Below are 24,264 nucleotides of genomic sequence, written 5' to 3' on the forward strand. Positions count from 1 at the left end.
GCAGCTATAATCCCAGCTACTTGGGAGGCTGAGGCAGGAGAATTACTTAAAACTGGAAGGCAGAGGTTGCAATGAGCTGAGATGGCGCCACTGCACTCCAGCCTGGGCAATAAGAGCAAAACTCCATCTCAAGAAAAAAAAAAAAAAGCAGGATCACCAAAAAATATAATTCCACAATGTTGGGACTTGGATCAAATGGCATCAGATAGCAGGCATACTCTGGCAGCACTCTGTGCCAATGTCCAAATCTATTAAGTTTGTTTACTAACTAGTCTTATTATCTGTTTCATGTTGGGATTTCTTTAGGATGTGGTAAAATTGGACAGATGGGTTGAAAGTCTTCCTTCAGGCACAATACACATAGCATTGGGCAGATGGGTTCCAATAACCTACCTTTAGGCCTGGAACACATGGATGAAACAAAGAGAAAAAGAATACACCACTATCCAGTGATGGGTAGAAAATAGAATTGGGAATGGAGAAATTTTTAAATGAGACCTGAAATATATAAAGTAAAACTGGAAAGTGGCACAGTGTCACTTACCTTCAAAGGTACAAATTTTTCAGTCAGCAAGCTATATATTATAGTAATGAGTGACCTTAGAAATCTAAATGTAACTTACTGAAAAAAGAGATCAATCTTAGCAATAAAAGATATCAACTGGAAATAAGTTTTGTAGTAACAAGAACAGGGCTCAACTGTATTTAATATCTCTCAATTAATTGGATGAGGATTTTACAGAATAGTAAACAAATGGGCAAATGGCAGTAATCTGTGAGGAAAAGACCAGACTTCAAGAGAATATCTGCAGTGTAGAAAGATGAACTGAAATAATTAAATGAAGGGATAGGTAAAAAGTATTGCCCTTAGATTCCCTCAAAACCCAAGGGAAAGCAAAATCAGCCCAATACAACTGTACAATGTAGAGATATGTATTTGTGGCAGCACAAATATAAAGAGCAGGAATTAGAGCTGACAGTGTAGTTGGCAGGACTAATGGCATGACCTGGCTGGAAAAAGAAGTTAGTTTAATATTTGACTGTATTAACAGAAGAATCATATCTGTTCTGATAGCTGGAGGCTGACTATGCTGGAGAGCTTCTGTTGACACCTCCATTTCCAAACTCTGTGCTTCTCCACCCTACCCAGTGCCCCAGGATGTGGCTGACCTATGTGTACTGCATCAAGGAGTTCTCCTTTATTCTGACTTCTCCTTTATTCTGACTTCCAGTCGGATGTGGCCAAATGGTAGCACAAGCAGAAGACAGGAGGGAAACAAAAGAATGAGGTAAGAGTGTTTATTCCTATAGTTCCTTCCATGTACTGGTTAAATCCCAGCCATACAAAGGCCATGCCTCTGGGATGGTCTGACAACCATCTCTAAACCTCCCTCTTTATCTCTGGGTTCCTATAACATTCTTTTCTCAATCCTTTATGGCAAGAGGTAGTAAGGATAACTGGCTTTATGAGCCCTAGGGTATACCTCATCCCATTTGGATCTTTGTAAATCATTTCTTTATTTAAATCCCTTCAAACTGTCTAATGCATATGACATATATTTTCTGTGGGCACCCTGGCTGATAAACATTTATTGAACACCTACTACATACCAAGCACTTCCTATGAGTTATGTTTAATATCCCTCTGAAGAAGGTTCTACTCTTATCCCACATATGTTGCAGATGAAGAAATGAAGGTGCCCAGAGGTTGACTTGCTTAAGGTCAAACAGCCAACAGGTGGCCAAGGTGGATTTGGACCCCCAACATCTGACTTAGAGCCCATTCTGTTAACTGCTATACTCATCTCACTCTGTTCAGAATAGTCAGATCCCACCTGGGAATAGTTCTTTCTCCCTGGCTTTCAGAGGAATTAAACAAAACAAAGTTGTGTTTAGAGGCAATGCCAATAAGAAAGAGGGAATCTCATAACTATGGGAAATGGGGTGTACAAATTTGTAAAATTTTTCTGAAAAGCAATTTGGCAGCATGTATTAAAAATCTTAAAATATGTTCTTATCCTTAGGCCCATTAATTTCATTTTTAAAAGCCCATCCTAAGGAAATGAAGATATGAATAATGATTTAATTATTGAATGTTCATTGCAGAGTGAGTTACAAGGACAAAAATCTGAAATAACTTAGGTGCTTAACAATAGAAACATGGCTAAATTATTATATATACATGTATATCTATATATTCCCATATATTATATAATGTTGAAATTATTGAAGTTGGGCCTTTGAAATATAATGAGTTGTGGAAATTCTTACATTGTTTATACAGGATCAAAAAAATCAAAGTATGTACCCTACATTTTGAAATACATGTGTGCATGTGTATGTATGTGTAAGAAAAAAAATGACTTTGAGATAAAACACCAAAATATTAATTGTGGTTATATTTGCACTTGGAAATATTTGCACTTGGAAACTTTGAGTGATCACTTCATTTCCACCACATAATTCTCTTTGTTTTTCTGTGTTTGCAGTTTTGTACCATAGACTAAAAAGAAATACTTAAAACAGCAATAACTATGAACCATGGTTATAAACTGTATGACCTAAAACAGAAAAGATTCAAAAAGATGTGAATGAAGGGCTATAGAATTAAAAGGAGTAAGATACTTGTCCTGAATGGCTCAAGGGGAAGAGCCTGAACCTATAGAAATTAGAGGAAGATAGATTTTAGCTTAATAGAACAAAAAGAATTCTAATAGGATTTTAAACAATGGGAACAGGTTGCCTTGAAAGGTTTTGATTTTTTTGTCACTGGAAGTATTCAAGAAAAGGATTGACCATATTTTTTCAGAAATATTTTTACAGTAACTTAACCTTTGTTCAGGTAATTAGACCTAGAATTTTCTCCCAACTGAGATTCTAAAATTTTCATGCTACCTAACAAGGATATCTAAATATTTCCTTACCACCAGAGATATATTTCTTTGGAATAAGATATGATTTTTTTCTGGGCATTCTCTTTCAATCTTCTTCCTGGGGCAAAGTAAAATGCCTTACTAAAGTTCTAAATTAGTTCCTTTGGAGACAGGGTACATGTCTTTTCAGCATTTATACCTATTGCTTACAACAGTTCTAAGTATATAGTCTACCCATAACATTTCAGGTTTTTTTATTTAAGTAAGCCAAATCTGGTTAATACACTACCCTAGATCCATTCCATTCTGCCTGTCCTGTGGCCTCAACAACATGATCCACTTCCCAGCAAGAGGAGCCTCATCTCCGAGCACCTACTGATTCTCTGGTCCTTCCACTAGCTACCCAGGGAGCCACAAAAATAACAAAGTCAGAGGAGTTAATGGCATGGAATGGGCCAGGTGAGATGCTTGCCTTCTCCTCACTACCTCTTCCATATTGTCCCAAGATATGGTGGTTCTAATAAGGCTTCTCTCAAGATATCCCACATAACCAAGCAAACCAAGCATGCTTCTTTGAGAAGCTGTGGCTACCTTGTATTTGCTTTCCCTCCCTTTCCTCCTCACTTTTCTTTTCCCTTCACTCACACATCTTTGGGATTATTTGTCCCAGTAAAGTGCTAGCACATAGCTTTGCTTTCAAGTCTGTTTTCCCAGGAAATTATGTTAAGACAACAATTGAAATTTTATTGTGAGTTAGTTGATCAGATGATATCAAATCCATCCTATGATATCTTCTGAAAGAGCGAGTTAAAGGCATATTCTGACACAAAGAAAACCTAAAGGAAGAATTGATCTGTAGCCTGGAGGAGGTAAAAAATCACCCTGGAATGAGCAGTAGCAGGCGGACCAGAAACAGCCTGATAGTACACGGGCATGAAAGAATGACCAATACAAGCCACCTCTGACCACATGTAAAGCTTGCCGAAGAGCAACTTTACTGGTGCACTCACTACTACCTTAACCCTCCCTAAACTCTGTTAAGCAACCTGCTTGATGATACCATCTGTTTCCCAGAGCCCCTTCTCACAGAATATAATTCTCAACATGCTCGCAATCCTTGTGCCTTTACTCACCAACTTTCAGCTCCCCGCCTGCAATGACCATGCATGCCACACTCAGAACATTGCTTCTGTCCACAGGGAAGTCTAAGGTCCCCATCACATACAGCCCTTTGAAGAATGGAAGATCTGTATCCACAAGGACAGTTCTGTCTGTGGAAGAAAAAGAAATTGCTCAGATATGTCACAAAAACAAGAATTACGTGTTTATTCTGGGGTTCTCCCAGCAGTTTGGGAGCTGTGTACAGTGTTATCTAAACCAGGACAGGTATAGCAACTGGAAGAACAAATAGTCTGCCAAAAGCTAGGACTTACTGAACAGGAAAATAAGTTCTGATTGATAAATGCTGCAATTGCTTAACATACCACATTCATGGACAAAATGCACTGCTTATGCACCAAACAGCTGCCCCAAGTCTAGTGCAGTGGAAACACACAGATCGAATGAGCTCCCTACCCTTTGTCCTGTCTCTTCACTTTTGGCTCTAGTTTCAGGGATGTACAGAACAGTAGACATGACATTGGCCTCTGAGGGAAGACTATTTGGATGTGAATACCAATTCTGCTACTTACTAGCTGTCTAGGCAAATAACTTTATCTCTCTGTGCCTCGGTTATCTCATCTGTGGAATGGGAATAATACTAAAAACAACTGTTTCGTTCACAGGACTTTTTGTGAGGGTTAACTCATTTAATTGAGTTAATAGATTGAAAGTGGTTATACAATGTTAGTAAGCTATCTCTAATTCCCTAAGTCCCATTGTGTAAGGTAAAGTACATGGTGCATGCTTAATAAACGCTTGATGTTATTATTTTTACTGTTGTCCCTTAGCTTCCCATGCTTATAGTGCTTACTGGACAATTTAAAATCATTATATTTTATTTCCCCTTTCATAAAAGCAGTCTTCATATAACTTCAGAAGAAATAATCATAGCTGTTGCCTGAGATTTACTATAGAGTAATATATAAACACAACATTTTCATTTAAAACAATAAGTATTTCATGTATGCCAAAGCATTAAGTGTTACTTTCTGAAATTTAGCAGTAATTCAACACTATAAATGACATCAAATAAAGATTTTTGCTTAAATTTCTAGTACCATAATCACCAACACATGTAAAGATTTATAAGGAATTCTTTTGTTAGTATAATCTCATCTCTCATTCTAGGAAACAATGCACTTGCTCTTCTTAAGGACATGCCCAAGCAAATTAACTTGTCATGAGTTGTCTTTCCTAGCCCCTCCCTGCTTCCTGCATTATAAGAATGGCCATGCCCTCCTGTGGCAGAGACTATAGGGTTGTAAACCAACCATTTCTCTTGTTTTCCTAAGTTCACAGTTAGACTACAGTTTCCACCTCCTTTGCAGGTTGATGAAGCCATGTGACTGAGTTGTAGCCAATAAAATGTGGGAAAAATTAAAGTATGACATCTCTAGGCCTGTTCCATAAATTCTGTATGCCTTTTCCCTCCCCTTTTCTCTCAGTTAGATGTAGAGCAGTGGTTCTCAAAGTATGGTCCTATCCCATCAGGATGCAAAGCAAGCATTAGTTCTGCTAGCAAGCTATTCTCTCTCCTCACTGGCTCCACCACTCTCCCTGGGGAAACAACCTCTCTCTTTTACACTCCAGTGACACCCTGTACATACATCTATCAGAGTACTGAGACACATTATTCAAATTATATACATACATTATTGTACGTGAGGAAGTAACTGTCACTGGGCTGGTCCTCAGTGTGATTATGACTTCCTCTCCCACTCTGACTTCCTTAAGTGAAGAGATCATTCTTTTTCTTTTTAAATCCCTAGTGTTTTTGCAATACTGAAGATAAAGACACTAAATAAATGTCGTCCAGATCTGTTGAGTTTAATCCCCTACATACCTTAAATTCAAGAGCTCATTGATGACTGGTACAAAATGAATGATCAAGCTAAACAGACAAAAATAAATATATATCTTAATCTCATCTCTAGCACTTTTCAAAATATTCAAATAAAAGAGTGAAGTACCTAGAGAATGTTCTAGGTTTAGCACACATTTTATGGGTTCATGACTTTAAGAATTATTTGAAGCAAAATTTGTAAAAACAAGAGGGTTTTGCCTCCAATTTATTTACTTATTTATTTTATTTTCATCTTTTATTTTAAATTCAGGGATACATGAGCAGGATATGCAGGTTTGTTAACACAGGTAAACTTGTGCCACGGTGGCCTGCTGCACAGATCATCCCATCACTAAGGTATTAAACCCAGCATCAATTAGCTATTCTTCCTGATCCTCTTCCTCCTCCCACCACCTGCCCTCTGACAGACCCCAGTGTGTGTTGTTCCCTGCCTTGTGTCCATGTGTTCTCATCACTTAGCTCCCACTTACAAGCAAGAACACGTGGTATTTTGTTTTCTGTTCCCGTGTTAGGTTGCTAAGGATAATGGCCTCCAGCTCCATCCATATCCCTGCAAAGGACAAATGAGATAATTCTCATTCCTTTTTATGGCTGCATAGTATTCCATTGTATCTATGTACCACATTTTCTGTATCCAGTCTATCATTGATGGACATTTAAGTTTATTTCATGTCTTTGCTATTGTGAATAGTGCTGCAATGAACGTATGCGTGCATGTGTCTTTAAAACAGAATGGTTTCTATTCCTTTGGTTGTATACCCAGTAATGGGATTGCTGGGTCGAATGGTATTTCTGCCTCTAGGTCTTTGAGGAATCGCCACACTGTCTTCCACAATGATTGAACTAATTTACACTCCTACCAATAGTGTAAAAGCATTCCTTTTGCTCCACAACCTTACCAGCATCTGTTGCTTTTTGACTTTTTTTTTTTTTTTTTTTGAGATGGAGTCTCACTCTGTCGTGCAGTGGCGTGATCTCGGCTCACTGCAAGCTCTGCCTCCCGGGTTCACACCATTCTTCTGCCTCAGCCTCCCGAGTAGCTGGGACTACAGGTGTCCGCCACCGCGCCTTTTTTGACTTTTTAATAATAGCCATTCTGACTGGTATGAGATGATATCTCATTATGGTTTTGATTTGCATTTCTCTAATGATCAGTGATGTTAAGCTTTTTTTCATATGTCTGTTGGCTGCGTGTATGTCTTCTTTTGAGAGGCATCTGTTCATGTTCTTTGCCCACTTTTTAATGGGGTTGTTTTTTCTTGTAAATTTAAGATCCTTATAGATGCTGGATATTAGACGTTTGTCAGATGCATAGATTGCAAAATTTTTCTCTCATTCTGTAGCTTGATTACCCTGATGATAGTTTCTTTTGCTGTGCAGAAGCTCTTTAGTTTAATTATATCCCATTTGTCAATTTTTGCTTTTGTTGCAATGGCTTTTGGCATCTTCATCATGAAATCTTCACCTGTGCCTTTGTCCTGAATGGTATTGCCTAAATTTTCTTCCAGGGTTTTTATGGTTGTGAGCTTTACATTTAAGTCTTTATTCCATCTTGAGTTGATTTTTGTATATGGCTTAAGGAAGGGGCCTAGTTTCAGTTTTTCTGCATATGGCTAGCCAATTCTCCCAGCATCATTTATTAAACAGAATATTCTTCCCCCACTGCTTGTTTTTTGAGGTTTGTCAAAGATGAGATGGTTGTAGGTGTGCAGTCTTATTTATGCCTTCTCTTTCTGTTCCATTGGTCTATGTGTCTGTTCTTGTACCAGTACCATGCTGTTTGGTTATGCTGTTTGGTTACTGTAGCCCTGCGGTATAAAGTTGGGTCACATGATGCCTCTAGCTTTTCTCTTTTTGCTTAGGATTGCCTTGGCTATTCGGGCTCTTGTTTGGTTTTATATGAAGTTTGAAATAGTTTTTACTAATTCTGTGAAGAATCTTAATGGTAGTTTAAGGGGAATAGCAATGAATCTATAAATTGCTTTAGATAGTATGGCCATTTTCATGATACTGATTCTTCCTATCCATGAGCATGGAATATTTTTCCATTTGTTTGTGTCATCTCTGATTTCTTTGAGCAGTGGTTTGAAGTTCTCCTTAAGGAGAACTGTTCACTTCCCTTGTTAGCTGTATTCACAGGTATTTTACTCTTCTTGTGGCAATTGTGAATGGGAGTTCATTTGCGAGTTGGCTCTTGGCTTGTCTATTGTTAGTGTATGGAAATGCTAGAGATTTTTGCACATTGATTTTGTATCCTGAGATTTTGCTGAAGTTGCTTATCAGCTTAAGAAGCTTTTGGGCTGAAACAATAGGGTTTTCAAGCTATAGGATCATTTCATCTGCAAACAAAGATAGTTTGACTTCCTCTCCTCCTAGTTAAATATGCTTTATTTCCATCTCTTGCCTAATTGCCCTGGCCAGAACTTCCAATACTATGTTGAATGGGAGTGGTGACAAAGGGCATCCTTGTCTTGTGACAGTTTTCAAGGGGAGTGCTTCTGGCTTTTGCCCATTCAATAGAATATTGGCTATGAGTTTGTCATATATAGCTTTTATTATTTTGAGGTATATTTCTTCAATAATTTATTGAGTTTTTAATTTGAATGTATGTTGAATTTATCAAAGGGCTTTTCTGCATCTGTTGAGATAATCATGTGGTTTTGGTCTTTAGTTCTGTTTGTGTAGTGAATCACATTTACTGATTTGCATACATTAAACCAACCTTGCATTCCAGGGACGAAGACTACTTGATCATGCTGGATAAACTTTTTGATGTGCTGCTGTATTCAGTTTGCCAGCATTTTGTTGAGAACTTTTGCATTGGTGTTCATCAATAATATTGACCCGAATTTGTCTTATTGTCAGGTTTTAGTATCAGGATGATGCTGACCTCATAAAATGAGATAGGGAGGAGTCCTTCCTTTTTAATTCTTGGAATAGTTTCAGTAGGAATAGTACCAGCTCTTCCTTGTAACTCTGGTAGAATTCAGCTGTGAATTCACCTGGTCCTGGGCTTTCTTTGGTTGGTAGGCTACTTATTACTGCCCCATTTTCAGAACTCATTATTAATCTATTCAGGGATTCAATTCTTCCTCGTTCAGTCTTGGGAGGGTGCATGTGTCCAGGAATTTATCCATTTCTCCCAAATTTTCTACTTTATGTGCAAGAGGTGTTTATAATATTCCCTGAGGGTTGTTTGTGTTTCTCTGGGGTCAGTGGTAATATCCCCCTTGTTGTTTCTGATTGTGTTTATTTCAATCTTCTCTTTCTTCTTTATTAATCTAGCTAGCAGTCTATTTAATTAGTTTTTTTTTCAAAAAAATCCTAGATTTGTTGATTTTTTGAAGGCTTTTCATGTCTCTATGTCCTTCAGTTCAGCTCAGATCTTGGTTATTTCTTGTCTTCTGCTAGCTTTGAGGTTTGTTTGCTCTAGGTTCTCTAGTTCTTTTAGTTGTAATGTTAGATTGTTAACTTGAGATCTTTCTAGCTTTTAGATGTGGGCATTTAGTGCTATAAATTTCTGTCTTAATGCTGCTTTAGCTGTGTCCCAGATATTCTGGTATGGTGTATCTTTGTTCTCATGAGTTTCAAATAACTCTTTGATTTCTGCCTTAATTTCATTATTTACTCAAGAGTCATTCAGGAGGAGAAGGTTGTTCATTTCCATGGTGTTGTGTGGTTTTGAATAGATTTTTTTTTTTTTTTGGAGACAGAGTCTCATCACTCTGTCACCCAGGCTGGAGTGCAGGGGTGTGATATCAGCTCAGTGCAGCCTCCTGGATTCAAATGGATTCCCTTGCCTCAGGCTCCTGAGTAGCTGGGATTACAGGTGTCTTCCACCATACCTGGCTAATATTTGTATTTTTAGTAAAGACAGGGTTTCACCGTGTTGCCCAGGATGGTTTTGAACTCCTGAACTCAGGCAATCCACCCACCTCAGCCTCCCAAAGTGCTGGGATGACAGCTGTGAGCCACTGTGCCTGGCCTTGAATAGATTTCTTAATCTTAAGTTCTAATTTGATTGTGCTGTGCTATGAGAGACTGTTATTATTTCAGTTCTTCTGCATTTGCTGAGAGTGATTTACTTCCAATTATATGATCAATTTTAAAGTAAGTGCTGTGTGGTGATGAGAACAAGGTATATGCCTTTGTTTTTTGGTGGAGAGGTCTATAGATATCTATCAGGCCCACTTTATCCAGAGTTGAGTTCTGGTCCTGAATATTTTTGTTAATTTTGTGTCTAAATTATCTGTCTAATATTGTCAGTGGGGTGTTAAAGTCTCACACTATTATTGTGTGGGAATCTAAGTCTCTTAGAAGGTCTCTAAGAACTTGCTTTATGAATCTGGGTGCTACAGTATTGGGTGCATATATATTTAGGATAGTTAGCTCTTCTTGTTGAATTGAACCCTTTACCATTATGTAATGCCCTTCTCTGTCTTATTTGATTTTTGTTGGTTTAAAGTCCATTTTGTCAGAAACTAGGATTGCAACCCCTGCTTTTTTTCTGTTTTCCATTTGCTTGGTAAATTTTTCTTCATTCCTTTATTTTGAACCTATGTGTGTCTTTGCATGTGAGATAGGACTCTTGAAGACAGCACACTGATGGGTCTTGGTTCTTTATCCAGCTTTAAAAGACTCTATGTCTTTTAATTGGGGCATTTAGCCCATTTATATTTAATGCTAGTATTGATATTGTGTGTATTTGATCCTGTCATCATGATGCTAGCTAGTTATTTTGCAGACTTGTTTATGTGGTTGCTCCATAGTGTCACTGGTCTGTGTATTTCAGTGTGTTTTTGTAGTGACTGGTAACAGCTTTTTGTTTTCATATTTAGGGCTTCCTTCAGTTCTTGTAAGGCAGATCTGGTGGTGCCAAATTCCCTCAGCATTTGCTTATCTGAAAAGGATCTTATTTCACTTTCAGTTATGAAGCTTAGTTTGTCCAGATAAGAAATTCTAGGTTGGGGGCCAGGTGCAGTGGCTCGTGCCTGTAATTCCAGCACTTTGGGAGGCTGAGGCAAGTGGATCACTTGAGGCTAGAAGTTCAAGACCAGCCTGGCCAACATGGCAAAACCTCGTCTCTACTAAAAATACAAAAATTAGCCAGGCATGGTGATGCATACCTGTAATCCCAGCTACTTGGGAGGCTGAGGCACAAGAATTGCTTGAACCCAGGAGACAGAGTTGCAGTGAACCGAGATCACACCACTGTACTCCAGCCTGGGGTACAGAGGAAGACTCCATCTCAAAAAAAATAAGAAAGAAAGAAAAAGAAATTATGTGTTGGAATGTCTTTTCTTTAAGAATGTTGAATATCTACCCCCAATCTCTTTTGGCTTACAGTGCTTCCATTAAGAGGTCTGCTGTTTGTCTGATGGGCTTCCTTTTGTAGGTCACCTAGCCTTTCTCTGGTTGCCTTTAACATTTTTGCCTCCATTTTGACCTTGGAGAATTTGATGAGTATGTGTCTACGGAATGATCTTCTCATGGAGTACCTTACTGGGGTTCTCCGCATTTCCTGAATTTGAATGTTGGCTTGCATAGCTAGGTTGGGGAAGTTTTCCTGGACGATATCCTAAAATATGTTTTCCAAATTGGTTTCATTCTCCCTGTCTCAAAGCAAGAGTTTTATACAAATTGGTTTATATCTGTTCCAACCTATAGCACACTCAACCAATATTCAGCTATTAAACCTGATTGTACAAAACAATAAAATTGGTTGAACTAATGCTTTCTCTCATCCACAGAGTACTCACACATACACATAAAAGTATGATAGTAGGTGCTTTTAGATGTATTTCTCAGCTAAAATATGACAAGTACATGAAGTTTTAATTATACCCCTTTCAGAAGAAATTTTCCCTTTCAATTGCCCTACCAACTCCAAATGTACCAACAAATTTCCCATGAATCACAGACAGACTATTATAACCACTTGAGAACAGGAACACAGCTGATGTTCTCACTTTTATTTTCTCAGGACCTAGAAGAATAATATTTAACCCATAATAGATGGTCAAAATTAACACCACACACACACACACAAGCACACGTGTGTACACACACATAAATTCCAATAGTTATCTAAGGAAAAGTATAGAATGAAGACAATAACAGAAACATTAGTCTTATTTCTTTTGGTGCCACACTCTTCACTTTGAAATTCCCTGGATTCATCTCTCCATTTTTTCTTCTTTCTTTCTTTCTTTCCTTTCCCATAATGTGACAAATTTTGAGGTGGTAGGAATTTAAACATGAGTAAGTCATGTTTCCCACCATCAGATGAAAACAGGTATATATACAAATAAATAATGTGATATACTTGAAATGATGACATACTTTTTAATTACATGGAGGTTGACTCTGTTTTTATTCCCAGCTGCTTCAAACTGGAGTCTATCAATGTGTCTATTATAAGAAAATTCTGCTAAAATAAAATAAGCACATGCCATATAGAGATTTTTATAAAGGCATTCTCCTTGTATCACAATAATAAATATTTCAGCTAGTTACATGAGCAAAAGAATTCACCCTAACGTACCCTCCAGAGCAGATCATCTGCAGGTCTAAACTGACAAATCCTCAGCTACAATGACACTTGCAGAGGATTTCTCTCTTTTGAGGAGTGGAAAGCTGGCATCTATGTGCCACATTCTCTAGAATTAACATCCTTTCCATAAAATTACTCAAGATATTTCAGAGCAATCACTCAGAAATAGTTATTTATACAACTTACTTAATAATATAAGTGATGGACCACCTCTAATTTAAGTGTGTTCCAGTGCTTTCCACCGTGTCCTGCCTTGGCTACAGATATTCCACCCTATCCTGTCAGTGACCAATCTATCCTACTTGAGAGAATCAGCACTGGCATATGGAGGGAACCATCTGGAATTTCTGTTGCTCAATGGGTGGCTGATGGGGGAGCTGATCTGGAAAGAGGCTCCAAAAAGAATTAATGAGTTCCAGATGTAATTAAAGACTGCTTTTCCCCCCAAAGGGGCTCAGGACTAGCCATGGGGTGGTGCCTCTTGGTTCCGAATTACACCCTTTAACCACTTGTTCATCCATCAAGCACTAAACACCACCATCTTTATCCTAGTGTGTTTTGCCAAGCAGTGTTTTGGCTTTTTGGTCTTTTTTTCCTGAAAGTGTTCTATTTTTACAATTAGAACACTAAAGCTTTAAAAATAATATCTGGAAAGTTAACAATAAGGAGAAACCCCTGAATTTATCCCTGCACCAAATGCAACAACAACAACAACAAAAAAGACTCAGTGTTTTATTAGAAATGCATTAACTAGCCTCAAGACCAGAAAACCTGAGCCAGACTGAAAGACAGATGTCTCTGAAAGAGGGCTGGGGCTTCTTTTGTATCAAGAACAATTTGACTACCACAGTTACAAAGCATTCCATGTAAGTTGAACGCTAGATTTAAACTCACTTTTTTTCCCAGCAAAGTAGGGAATCAAGGTCACTATTGTGTAGCATTCCAAGGGTCTGACACTTGTCTAAATCCTGTAGAAATGAGATCAAGGGCAAAGGGCACAGATCCTGGGAATAATGATGGGGTCACATGAACAGGCATAATTTAGGGCAGGCAGACCCACTGCTTGTATGGTATGCACTGTATCAGGCCCCATAACTTAGGTGGTAAGACAGTTTCTATTACAACCCTGCTATTGTCAGGAAAGCAGCCTGTACTGACTTTGGACACAGCTCAGACTTCTGAGGGAGAGCAATGGCATGCCAGGCAGAGCAGGACATACAAGGACTATTTGTGGGCTTGTTATTTTCCTGTACCTTCCATAATTAATGGGTTTTTTTTCTACATTCAGCCTTGGCTCCTGTGTTTTCTATTAAATATGTGAACCAAAGGAAAAGTAAATTTTAAAGCTATTTGAATCACTATTAAATGATCTAATCTTCCTTTGTAGAAAGAAAATATTTTTAGCTCCAAAGTGACTGCTTTAAATATACATTTTACACAATGATTGGTGATATTTTCTTTCTTTTGTGGTCTCGTTTAACTTTGGAGGCATCTAACAATTTATTTAAATAGTCTATCATAATTTATAAAGATGAATGATAACATCCAAGAAAAGTATTCCTAAAATAGAATGGAAACTCTTATACATAAATAGTTCACAGAGATGAAAGATGAACATGATTGAAAATTAGTGTCAAGTAGACTAATTTACTGAGATGATGGTATTCAGTTCTCTAGAGTTCATTCTCTTGTAGAAAAAGCTGACCAGAGATGTGCTAGAAGATAAGGATGCAGTCTTTCTATAACTAAACTCTTTTCAAAGAAGTGCTAGCTTTATAGTCTGCCTTTTTCATCAAATCCACACAGGTGGTTTCTTTATTCTACTCTGCCCATCATTTTTTTTCAAACTGGTCTTAAAAATAGGCAGAAGAGGCAGTTTCAAAGTGCCCAGAGGCACACGATTCAAGACTAAAAGCCAGTTTCCTGACACCCTGAAGAAAAACCATCTGCTGGCCTGATTGTGTGTGTGTGTGTGAGAGAGAGAGAGAGAGAGAGAGAGAGACAGGATGGAAGGGGAGGAGAGAAAAATAGCTCTTCTCACTCTCACCTCATGAGAAGAGTCCCATTTAAACTTTGGACAATAAATCCCCATCCCACTCCCCACATTCTTTCTGTGTCTTTTTCAATCACACACAGACATGCATAATTCCCATAGTAGAATAAACATTTTAAATTATGATATTTTAATTGATCAATAAAATGTTTAACATACAATGTTTATTTCTTCCTCTAGTCTATACCATCTGTTCTTCAGAAATATTTTGAATCTATTTAATAGGAAGGTTTTTAAGTAAAATTACCAACTGTATCAGATCAGTCCTCTGCATCCCAAATTCTGAAAGGAGAATACCAGAAGGTGCTGCTGTTTTCATAAAAATAGAAAAGAATCTGTGCCTTCTCTCATCCCAGGCTTTATTATTATTGTTTTAAATCTAGAGACGGTGCTATGCTACTGTTCTCTTCATCAGACTTCAAAGAAATCAGAGTGGACGACATGGCATTGCCATTTAAACCAAGGTCTATAGTTGTCACCTTGCTCAGATGGCTCAAGGCAAAAACAACAACAACAACAATCAAACAAACAAAAAACCTAGACCTTGCAATCCCCAGAAGACCTAAAAAGGAACAATATGCATTTTGATAAATTTTAGGTCTGATGTTAAACTACAGTTTGGCTTTATCCACATAATTCTATTACCTGTATACATTGTTAATGAATTCTAACTAACATGAGGTTTGGAGATAAAATCCCTCTCCAATCCTGTAGTGAATAATGCTTAATATGTGAAAAGGCATAAACTGGCAACTCTCAGGTGATCCAATTATTAAATTTTTACATGTTACAGTTGGTGTTAAAGCCAAACTAAGCGCCAAACTTATTTTCCTATGTGGGTTTTTGTTTTGATTTGTTTCCTTAAGAATAATAACATGATCAACTTTTAGTAAATAAATATATTTTGTACTTTTACCCTGAATAGAAAAATATGAATATCTATGAAATAAGTGATTCACTCCTGAACGGTGCTGTTTAGGCAAAGGTCCAGATATCAAATATTGTATCAAATAAGTTTATTTCTCCCCATCAGGTCTTTTTTGAAAATAAATCTTCTCTTTTTGTCTCTGCTTGACACTAGACAGGGCAATATATCCAAAAAACTATGAGATTCTTTAATTTTCCTCGGTATTATTGACTTTTTTTCTTAAGTTCTCAATTGTTTCTTCTGCAGGAAAAGAAACCCAAAAGATTATTAAAATCTTAAAAATAAGATGCTTGTATCCTATTTGTTTGTTAAATATACATATATTATATCAATTATAATTGATGTTTAAGAGAGAGTTTAAAATGTAGTATCTGAGTAACAAATATTTAGTAAATAATCTCTACTTTCTATTTTAATATGTTGTACCAAAATTTATATTTTCTGAGCAAACCAATCTATATGTTGTGCTCCTAAATTAATAAAGTGCTTATATTTTATAAAGTACAAAATAACTTCTGTAGAAGTTGTCATTGTTCTCAATATTTTTATATTTTCCATATTTTTTGGAAAGTCCCCAAAAATTAACTCCCTTAAAAGTCTTCTTGTAAATTCCAGTAAATTACATGTATTCAAAGCAAGGAGTTCTTGCTTGGGGTTTCCAAAATATGTTATTTTCCACTTGAATTCGAATATTGTCCCAGAGATCATGAAGGTTCCTAGAATGTTTATTCACAATTCTAACTATTCTAACAATAATATCTGGATTCTACAACCTCTATCAAAAGTCCCAATACTCTAAAATATCCTTGCTTGGTAAACATACTGAAATCCTTGTCCTTAGAGTTAATTCCTCTTTTTAATCCAAGATGACTAGAAGACCCCAGGAGAAAAATGATATATAAAGAAAAGGTATTATCACTGACCAATACATTTGCTCATTCATCCATTCATTCACTTAGCAAATACTACCAAGTGCTTTGTCAGACACTGTGATATATGCCAAAGAAACAAACATAAATAAAACAAGGCTCCTACTTCACATAGAGAAGAAATTTTTTTTTTGAGACAGAGTTTCACTCTTGTCACCCAGGCTGGAGTGCAATGGTGCGATCTTGGCTCACTGTAATCTCCGCCACCTGGGTTCAAGCAATTCTCTTGCCTCAGCTTCCCTAGTAGCTGGGATTACAGGTGCCCATCACCACGCCTGGCTAAAGTTTTGTATTATTAGTAGAGATGGGGTTTCACCATGTTGGCCAGGCTGGTCTCAAACTCCTGACCTCAGGTGATCTGCCTGCCTCAGCCTCCCAAAGTGCTGGGATTACAGGTGTGAGCCACCAGGTAATGAAATTGATGGGATGAGTTTTGGAAGAACAAAGAAGTAGATGTGAAGTCCTTTTAGTATTTGCTTGTGATACCCACCAAAATGATCATGGCAAAGCCCAGGCAACATTTCAAAGTAAAAAAGACTATGTCTGTTTCTTCCTACTTTCGAGTGCCCATCCATCTCTGATAAACTACTGACCTCATTTGCTCATAACTACCAAATGGCCAGAATCCCACTGATGCCCAACCACCAACAGTCCACACAGATGAAGGGTCTCAGTAGTTCTATAGTTCCAGTAATTTCTCAGCTGTGTCCCAAGTCCCTCTAGGCTCAACTCACTTATACATGACTAAGTAGAGAAATACTAATTCATTGGGGGGGGGGGGGGCGGTAACAGGAGAAATTAAGCGAAATGCCACATAAAAAATTATTACAGTGGCTGGCACATAAAAGGCATTCAATTATCAGCTATTGTTTTCATATGCCCAACATGTAGCTTGGAGTACTTGCTCTATACCTGTCACTTCGCTATTGTGTGAACCAAAGAGACACAGTTCTTGGCCTCATGAAATCTAAAATTTTGTGGAGGAAATAAGACATTAATACACAATTGCAAAACTTCATAAGCACAAACTCTGCAAATTGGTAAGAAGAAAAATACATAATACTATGAGAGTAACAGTGAGGGATCAAGGGTGAGACCTAAAGAGTGAGCAGCAGTTAACTAGGTGTAGAGTTGCTCCAGAGAAAGGAGGCAGGACAGATGAAAAGTCAGAAGCGGGAAAGAGCTCCATACATCCAAAAGACTGAAAAGCGAGAAATGCAAATCAAAATCACAATGAGATACCATCTCACACCAGTCAGAATGGCTATTATTAAAAAGTCAAAAAATAATAGATGCTGACGAGGCTGTGAAGAAAAAGGAATGCTTATACACTGTTGGTGGGAATCCAAATTAGTTCAGCCACTGTGGAAAAAAGTTTGGTGATTTCTCAAAGAACTAAAAATAGAACTACCATTAAAACCAGCAATCACCTTACTGGGTATATATCCAAAGGAAAATAAATTATTCTACCAAAAGACACATGCACTTGTAGGTTTATCACAGCACTGCTCTCAGTAGCAAAGACATGGAATCAACCTACCTGCCCATCAATGGTGGATTGGATAAAGAAACTGTGGTACACATATGCCATGGAACACTACACAGCCATAAAAAAGAATAAAATCATGTTCTTTGCAGCCACATGGGTGCTGCTGGAGGCCATTATCTTAAACAAATTAACACAGGAACAGAAAACTAAATACTACATGTTCTCACTTATAAGTGGAGGTAAGCGTTGGGTACACATGGACATAGAAATGAAAATAACACACTAGAGACTGCTAGAGACGGAAAGAAGGGATGAAGGCAAGGGCTGAAGAGCTACCTATTGGGTGCTATGCTCACTACCTGGGTGAAAGGATTCACTCATATCCCAAACCTCAGCGTTATGTAATACTTACATGTAACCAGCCTGCACATGTACCATCTGAATATAAATGAAAAGTTGAAATTATATTTTTTAAAAAAGACTGAAAAGCAACAGGAATGCCCACATTGCTGAATCTGGAGGAGAGAGGTAAGAGGCAGGGCTAGAAAGGCGGGCAAGAGAGCAGATTAGGAAGACTATGTAAAAACAATGAGATTTTTGTCATGATAATGAAAGTAAGCCACTAAGGGGAAATGAAAGAGGGAAATTACACAGCCAACTCATATTTTTCAGAGTGCTCTGGCTGCAGTGGGGGAGAATGGAGTAGATGAGGGTAAGCACAGCAGGAGAAGAATAATTAAGAGGCATTCTATGGCTGCATAGTATTCCATGGTGTATATGTGCCACATTTTCTTAATCCAGTCTATCATTGTTGGACATTTGGCTTGGTTCCAAGTCTTTGCTATTGTGAATAGTGCCACAATAAACATACGTGTGCATGTGTCTGTATAGCAGCATGATTTATAATCCTTTGGGTATATACCCAGTAACAGGATGGCTGGGTCCAGATGGTATTTCTAGTTCTAGATCCCTGAGGAATTGCCACACTGATGGGAGGGGGGAGGGATAGGATTAGGATAGGATTAGGAGATATACCTAATGTTAAATGACGAGTTAATGGGTGCAGCACACCAACATGGCACATGTATACATATGTAACTAACCTGCACATTGTGCACATGTACCCTAAAACTTAAAGTATAATAAAAAAAAAAGAGGCATTCTAGTGGTTCACCCAAGAGGCCATGATGCATATATTAGGGTGGTGAGAGAGGAAATTAAAAAACACATATCTGAGTAACATTCAAGAAGCAGAATAGCCAGGATTGGATAAAGTGTCAAGAACAACCCTGAGCAATTGAGAGTGGAAGATGGTGCCATGTGCTGGAATGGGAAAGCTGGAAGAAGAGTAAGTTGGCCACTGGCAATGGCAGGCTTGGTAGGGAGAGAGCAAGAATAGAGGATTCTCTCTGAGTTATTTTAGTTTAAGATAACTGTACATCATCCCAGTGCAGATTTCAAGTGGACAATTACACATATAGGTCTGATCCTTGGGAAAAGACAAAACATATTTATGAGTTCAAGAACCATCAATAGCTTCACAACTAGAAAATGTATGTTCTCCAAAAATCACCAAGACAGAATGAGAAGAATCGTTATCTAAAAATAGATGAGGGTTTTTTTTTAATTCAAGGGAGTTTTTAAAATCATATGGAGCATTCAAAAATGTGTTTGCTAATAGGAAATGTCATATAGAGAGGGAAAGACTGCAGACAAGAAAGAGAAAGGAAGGAGACAATTATGGACTGAGATATCTGAAAAGGAATAACAGCATTAAGATGCAGAGAACATCAGGTGGGATTATCTTTGGGAGAAGGTAAAACACTTTGTTACAACAGGAGGAAAGAAAGAGAAGAAAGGGGTGCTGCAATTTACATATACTTGTCTCCTTTAAAGAGGAGCCTGAGGATACCTAAAATACCCTGCAAAAGACTATGAACTTGGGACACACTTTCAGTTCACCTCTAAATCATATCATGTAAACATTAGACTTCTTCTGCTAATAACCAATAGAAATCAGGGATGATCTCTACTATAAAACTCTGTGTGTAAAAATATATCTATCTGGCCAGGCATGGTGACTCATGCCTGTAATCGAAGCACTTTGGGAGGCCGAGGCAGGTTGATCACTGAGGTCAGGAGCTCGAGACTAGTCTGGCCAACATGGTGAAACCCCATCTCTACTTCTCTACTAAAAAAATGAAAAATATTAGCCAGGCATGGTGGCTCATTCCTGTAATCCCAGATACTTGGGAGGCTGAGGCAGGAGAATTACTTGAACCCGGGAGGCAGAGGTTGCAGTGAGCCGAAATCATGCCACTACACTCCAGCCTGGGCAACAGAGCGAGACTCTGTCTCAAAAAAAAAAAAAAAAAAAAAATATATATATATATATATATATGTATATGTGTGTGTGTGTGTGTGTGTGTGTGTGTGTGTGTGTATCCATCTATATGAGCATCTGGCTTAATGTCTACTTAAAAAACTTTATTACCTTAACACCATCTGAACAGGATTCTTTTAAAAGTAACTAATGAGAATTAATACGTAAGAATGAGTGACTGCTGTATAAATACATAAAATAGTTAATGAAATTAATGCACATGCATCTAGACATCCATATATCAAGCCAAGCATGTATTTTACATATGGAGTCTTTGTATCCATCCATTCATTCTCGAATAGAGACTAGTTCTATATTACAACATGGATGAAACTTGAGAACATCATGCAGGGTGAGAAACTTCACTGTATGATTCCTTTTACATGAAATGTCTAGAGTAGGAAAATCTGTAGAGATGGAAAGTAGATTAATGGTTGCCTGTGGCTGGGGGAGATTGCGGACTAGGGAGTTATAGCCTAAGGGGTATGGGGTTTCTTTGGGGGGTAATCAAATGTTCCAAAATTAATTACAGTAATCGCATGTCTCTGTAAAAACCACGAATTGTACAATTTAAAAGGATGAATTTTATGGTATGTGAATTATATCTCAATAAATCTCTTAAAAATTAAAGTACTTTTTGTACTAATATGGAATAATCATATCTTTCTATACTAATATGGAATAATTACATGGAATAATAATAGCTTTTAAAGCAAGGCACACATAGTGTACAATTTGTAATATTTATACAAAGGGAGTGAATAAAAATAAATGTAGTGTGTGTTTTTTTTAATTTTTGCATATGCAGCACAGAATATCTTTCGAAAGATACCAAAGGAAGGAACCAGTAACACTGCCATCTTCAGGAAATGAAACTGGCTGGCTGGAAGACATGGGTGAAGGGAAAATTTTCAATGAGCAATCTTTTTCTCTTTGAATTTTGAACAAAGTAAATACACTACTTTAAAATCTTTTAAAAAATTGAAATTAAAATTAAAAGTAGAGACTAGTCATAATTTTATTTGAAATGCAAATTAAAAAAGAATCTCTCACACACACACACACATTTGCATGTGTGTGTGTTTATGTATGTGTGTCTTTTAGTCCTTGTCAGACATGTAATTTTTTTCTGCTGACAGGAATATAAGAAATATGAGCAAGAGAATAAGCTGTGCAGACTTCTTATTTGACCTGGCTTTGACTTCCTGTTTCTAATGTCCCTTAATTTACATTTTGATAGGTAATGTTCCTTTCTCATTTTATCTTCATATTTGCAATTTTTACATTTGGATATTTATGGAATGTGGATCTACGCAAAATTTGACTCTGCCATTGGAATTGGAGTTCAGTATGATGTTTCAATTTATTCTGACTTCAGTTTTTGCTTGCTAAGTTAATATTAGGACAAGATCAAACTCCATTACCTTGCATAGATTACTCTCTAGAAAGTTCTCCCTATTGCCACTTTGCTGGTCCATAATCACTGGAGACAACTTCCTGAAATATGGATTTATGGGAAGGCAAACAAAGAATTATAAACACAAAGAAAATCAGAAAACTATGAAAGAGATATACTGAATAATCAATAATCAATTCAATATCCCAAGAACTAATACTCAAAGATACAAAATAAAGCAAATGGAAAATTTAGCTTAAGCATATTCCCAAACACACTTTAAAAACACAGAATATTTTAGAAGCATACAAAAATAGTTTCTTGTATTTCCTTTTGATTCCTTTATATTTAATATAAGACTCTAGTTCGTCTGGCATGGCATGACTTGGGAACACAACAGAATTTTTTTTAGCATGTGGGTAGACAACTATTCCAACATAATTTACTGAAACGTAGTATTTTCCCACTGTTTTGAAATGCCATCTTAATTACTAAGTACATTCTTTTATATCCATGGGTCTGTTTCTGGACTCTATTTTGTCTCATTCACTTTCCTCTCCTGCCTCTTCCTATGACAATATCATACCAGCTTTATCTAGACCAATCCTCCCCAAAATAATGTTTTTAAAATCCTTGCCAGTTGTATATTTGCTTTTCCTAAAAATATTAGAATCAGCTTCTCACGTTCTAATTTTTTTTAATCTAAATGCAATTTTAACTAGGCTTACTTGAATTTATAAATCCATGTGGGGGAGAATCTTTTCATCATTGTGTCTTCCTGTATTTGTACAGCATTCCACCTATTTAGCAAGGTTTTCAGGGGGTTTTTCTTCACATGACATATGAATTTTTTGTTTATATCTAGGTATTTTACCTTTTTCCATCAAAAGTGGAATTTATTGTCTATTGCATTTTCTAATTAGTGATTGCTATTATACAGGAATGCTATTGTTCCTTGCATGCTAGTATTGTTGCCAGCCATTTTACTTAAATATCTTGTATTTTTTTTCTAGAAAAAAAAAAACATAGGCTTACCAGTAATTGTTTTCCTGCTTCTTTCAAGTGGCTGTGCTTTCTATCCTATTTTTTTCATGTACTATTGCATTGTTTGGTATCTCCAGTAATAGAAATAAGAGTAGGCATTCACGTTTTATTCTCGACACTAACAGGAATGAAATTAACCTTTCACACTTAATTATAATATTTCCTATGGACTTCTTGTAAACACCTTATATCCAGTTAAGAGAAATTCCCCTATTTCTGTAATAATAAATTGTTGTTGAGTATTAACAGATAGAAATTTATCAAATGCTTTTAAAAAAATTGATTTGGGGTCTTGGAAAACACCCTACAAAATTCACTCGATACTACCATGTAAACACTTTTTCTTCTAATGGGAAGCAGATGAGTTTAACATACTGTAATTGTTAACTCTTGCCCTTAACCAAGGGATACAAATAATCTATGCCACATTCAAGAGGAAGACAGCATATTTTCTACACCAAAAGAAAACAACAACAAAAAACAGGAAATGCCTTCAAAAATCTTGTTTTAAATGTCTGCTTAGATTTCAGATTTCTTTACTTTAGATGCTTCTATAAAATAACAGAGAAATTTTACCCTCAGTATCCCAAGTTTTCCAAGACTTGTGATTGGGAACCATAATAAGCCTATTAATTTCTGTTTTGGTTCATCTTCTCCTTCTTCAGCCCACTGATACCATCCTTCACTCTGCCCCACTGCCCTAGAAATAGTTTTCTCTGCTCACTCACCCTTAGCCACCTAAAATATGTGACACTTCCCCATGGCCCTGATGTGCCCTGGAACCTTGGACAGTCTGAATATTTAAGAAGCCCTTACTCAGATAAAGACACAGAGTAGTATAGGCAGAAGCTGGCACTGCACGTGACAAGGGGAAGAAAGACAATAAAACTTATTTAGTCATTCTTGGCTCTTTATATATGGAATATCGTGCCTCATTATTATAAAAAGAAAGTACAATCTTGGGGAAACAGAGAGACTTCTAATTTTGTCTTACTGAATTATGTTAGATTATTTTTCCTGATATTCTAGAACTATCCTTGCATTCCTGGGATTAAACCCTATTTAACTATAATTTGTGATTCTTTGGAAGCACAGGTACATTGGATTTAGTAAGACTTCTCCTCAATATCAATGAGATTAGCCTTTAATTTTCTTCTTTGTGCCACCTTTATCTAATTATATAATCAATCCTATAGCCTTAAGAATGAATTAGGAAGATTTTTATTTTTCTCCAGGTTCTGAAAGAGTTTATAATATGGTGATTATGTGTTCCTTGAAGGTATGTTTTGCATTTTTAAAGAAGTAACCCGGATGATCTCAGCTATAGGTAGGCTATGAATTCACTTTAAGATCAACTGACCTGAAAAAATTCTCCCACTTGAACAATGAGGCATAAATATTTTTGTCATTGTATTGTTTATAAAAGTGAAAAAATTGGGGTGAAAATTTATGTTCATCAGTAAGATGGTAATTCAATAAATTATACCACATTCCTACTCTGGGTAACTACACTGTCATTTAAAAGGATGCAGGACATTTGTCATTACTGATATGATAGTATTTTGAATATAGACTTAACTTTTTTGAAAGT

At 36.9% G+C, this 24,264-nt stretch overlaps 1 protein-coding gene across 22 annotated transcripts in view; it reads right to left on the minus strand.

Moving 5' to 3' along the window:
- The window catches only part of PKHD1 (PKHD1 ciliary IPT domain containing fibrocystin/polyductin), a 472,317-nt gene that overhangs the window by 171,931 nt on the left and 276,122 nt on the right, over positions 1–24,264 (minus strand). For 21 of the 22 annotated variants that reach the window (XR_001743469.2, XM_017010944.3, XM_017010945.3 and 18 more), the window contains one exon: positions 4,007–4,144. The exons of the other annotated variant lie outside the window; for it this stretch is intronic. Coding sequence is in view for 20 of the 21 variants with exons in the window: in XM_017010944.3 (XP_016866433.1) it covers positions 4,007–4,144 (138 nt within the window). In the remaining variant the exon portion in view is untranslated. The remainder of the gene's footprint in view (positions 1–4,006; positions 4,145–24,264) is intronic. 22 annotated transcript variants of the gene reach the window in all.

The sequence above is a fragment of the Homo sapiens genome, chromosome 6, assembly GCF_000001405.40.
Source record: "Homo sapiens chromosome 6, GRCh38.p14 Primary Assembly".
In the NCBI taxonomy this organism is placed as follows: Eukaryota; Metazoa; Chordata; class Mammalia; order Primates; family Hominidae; genus Homo; species Homo sapiens.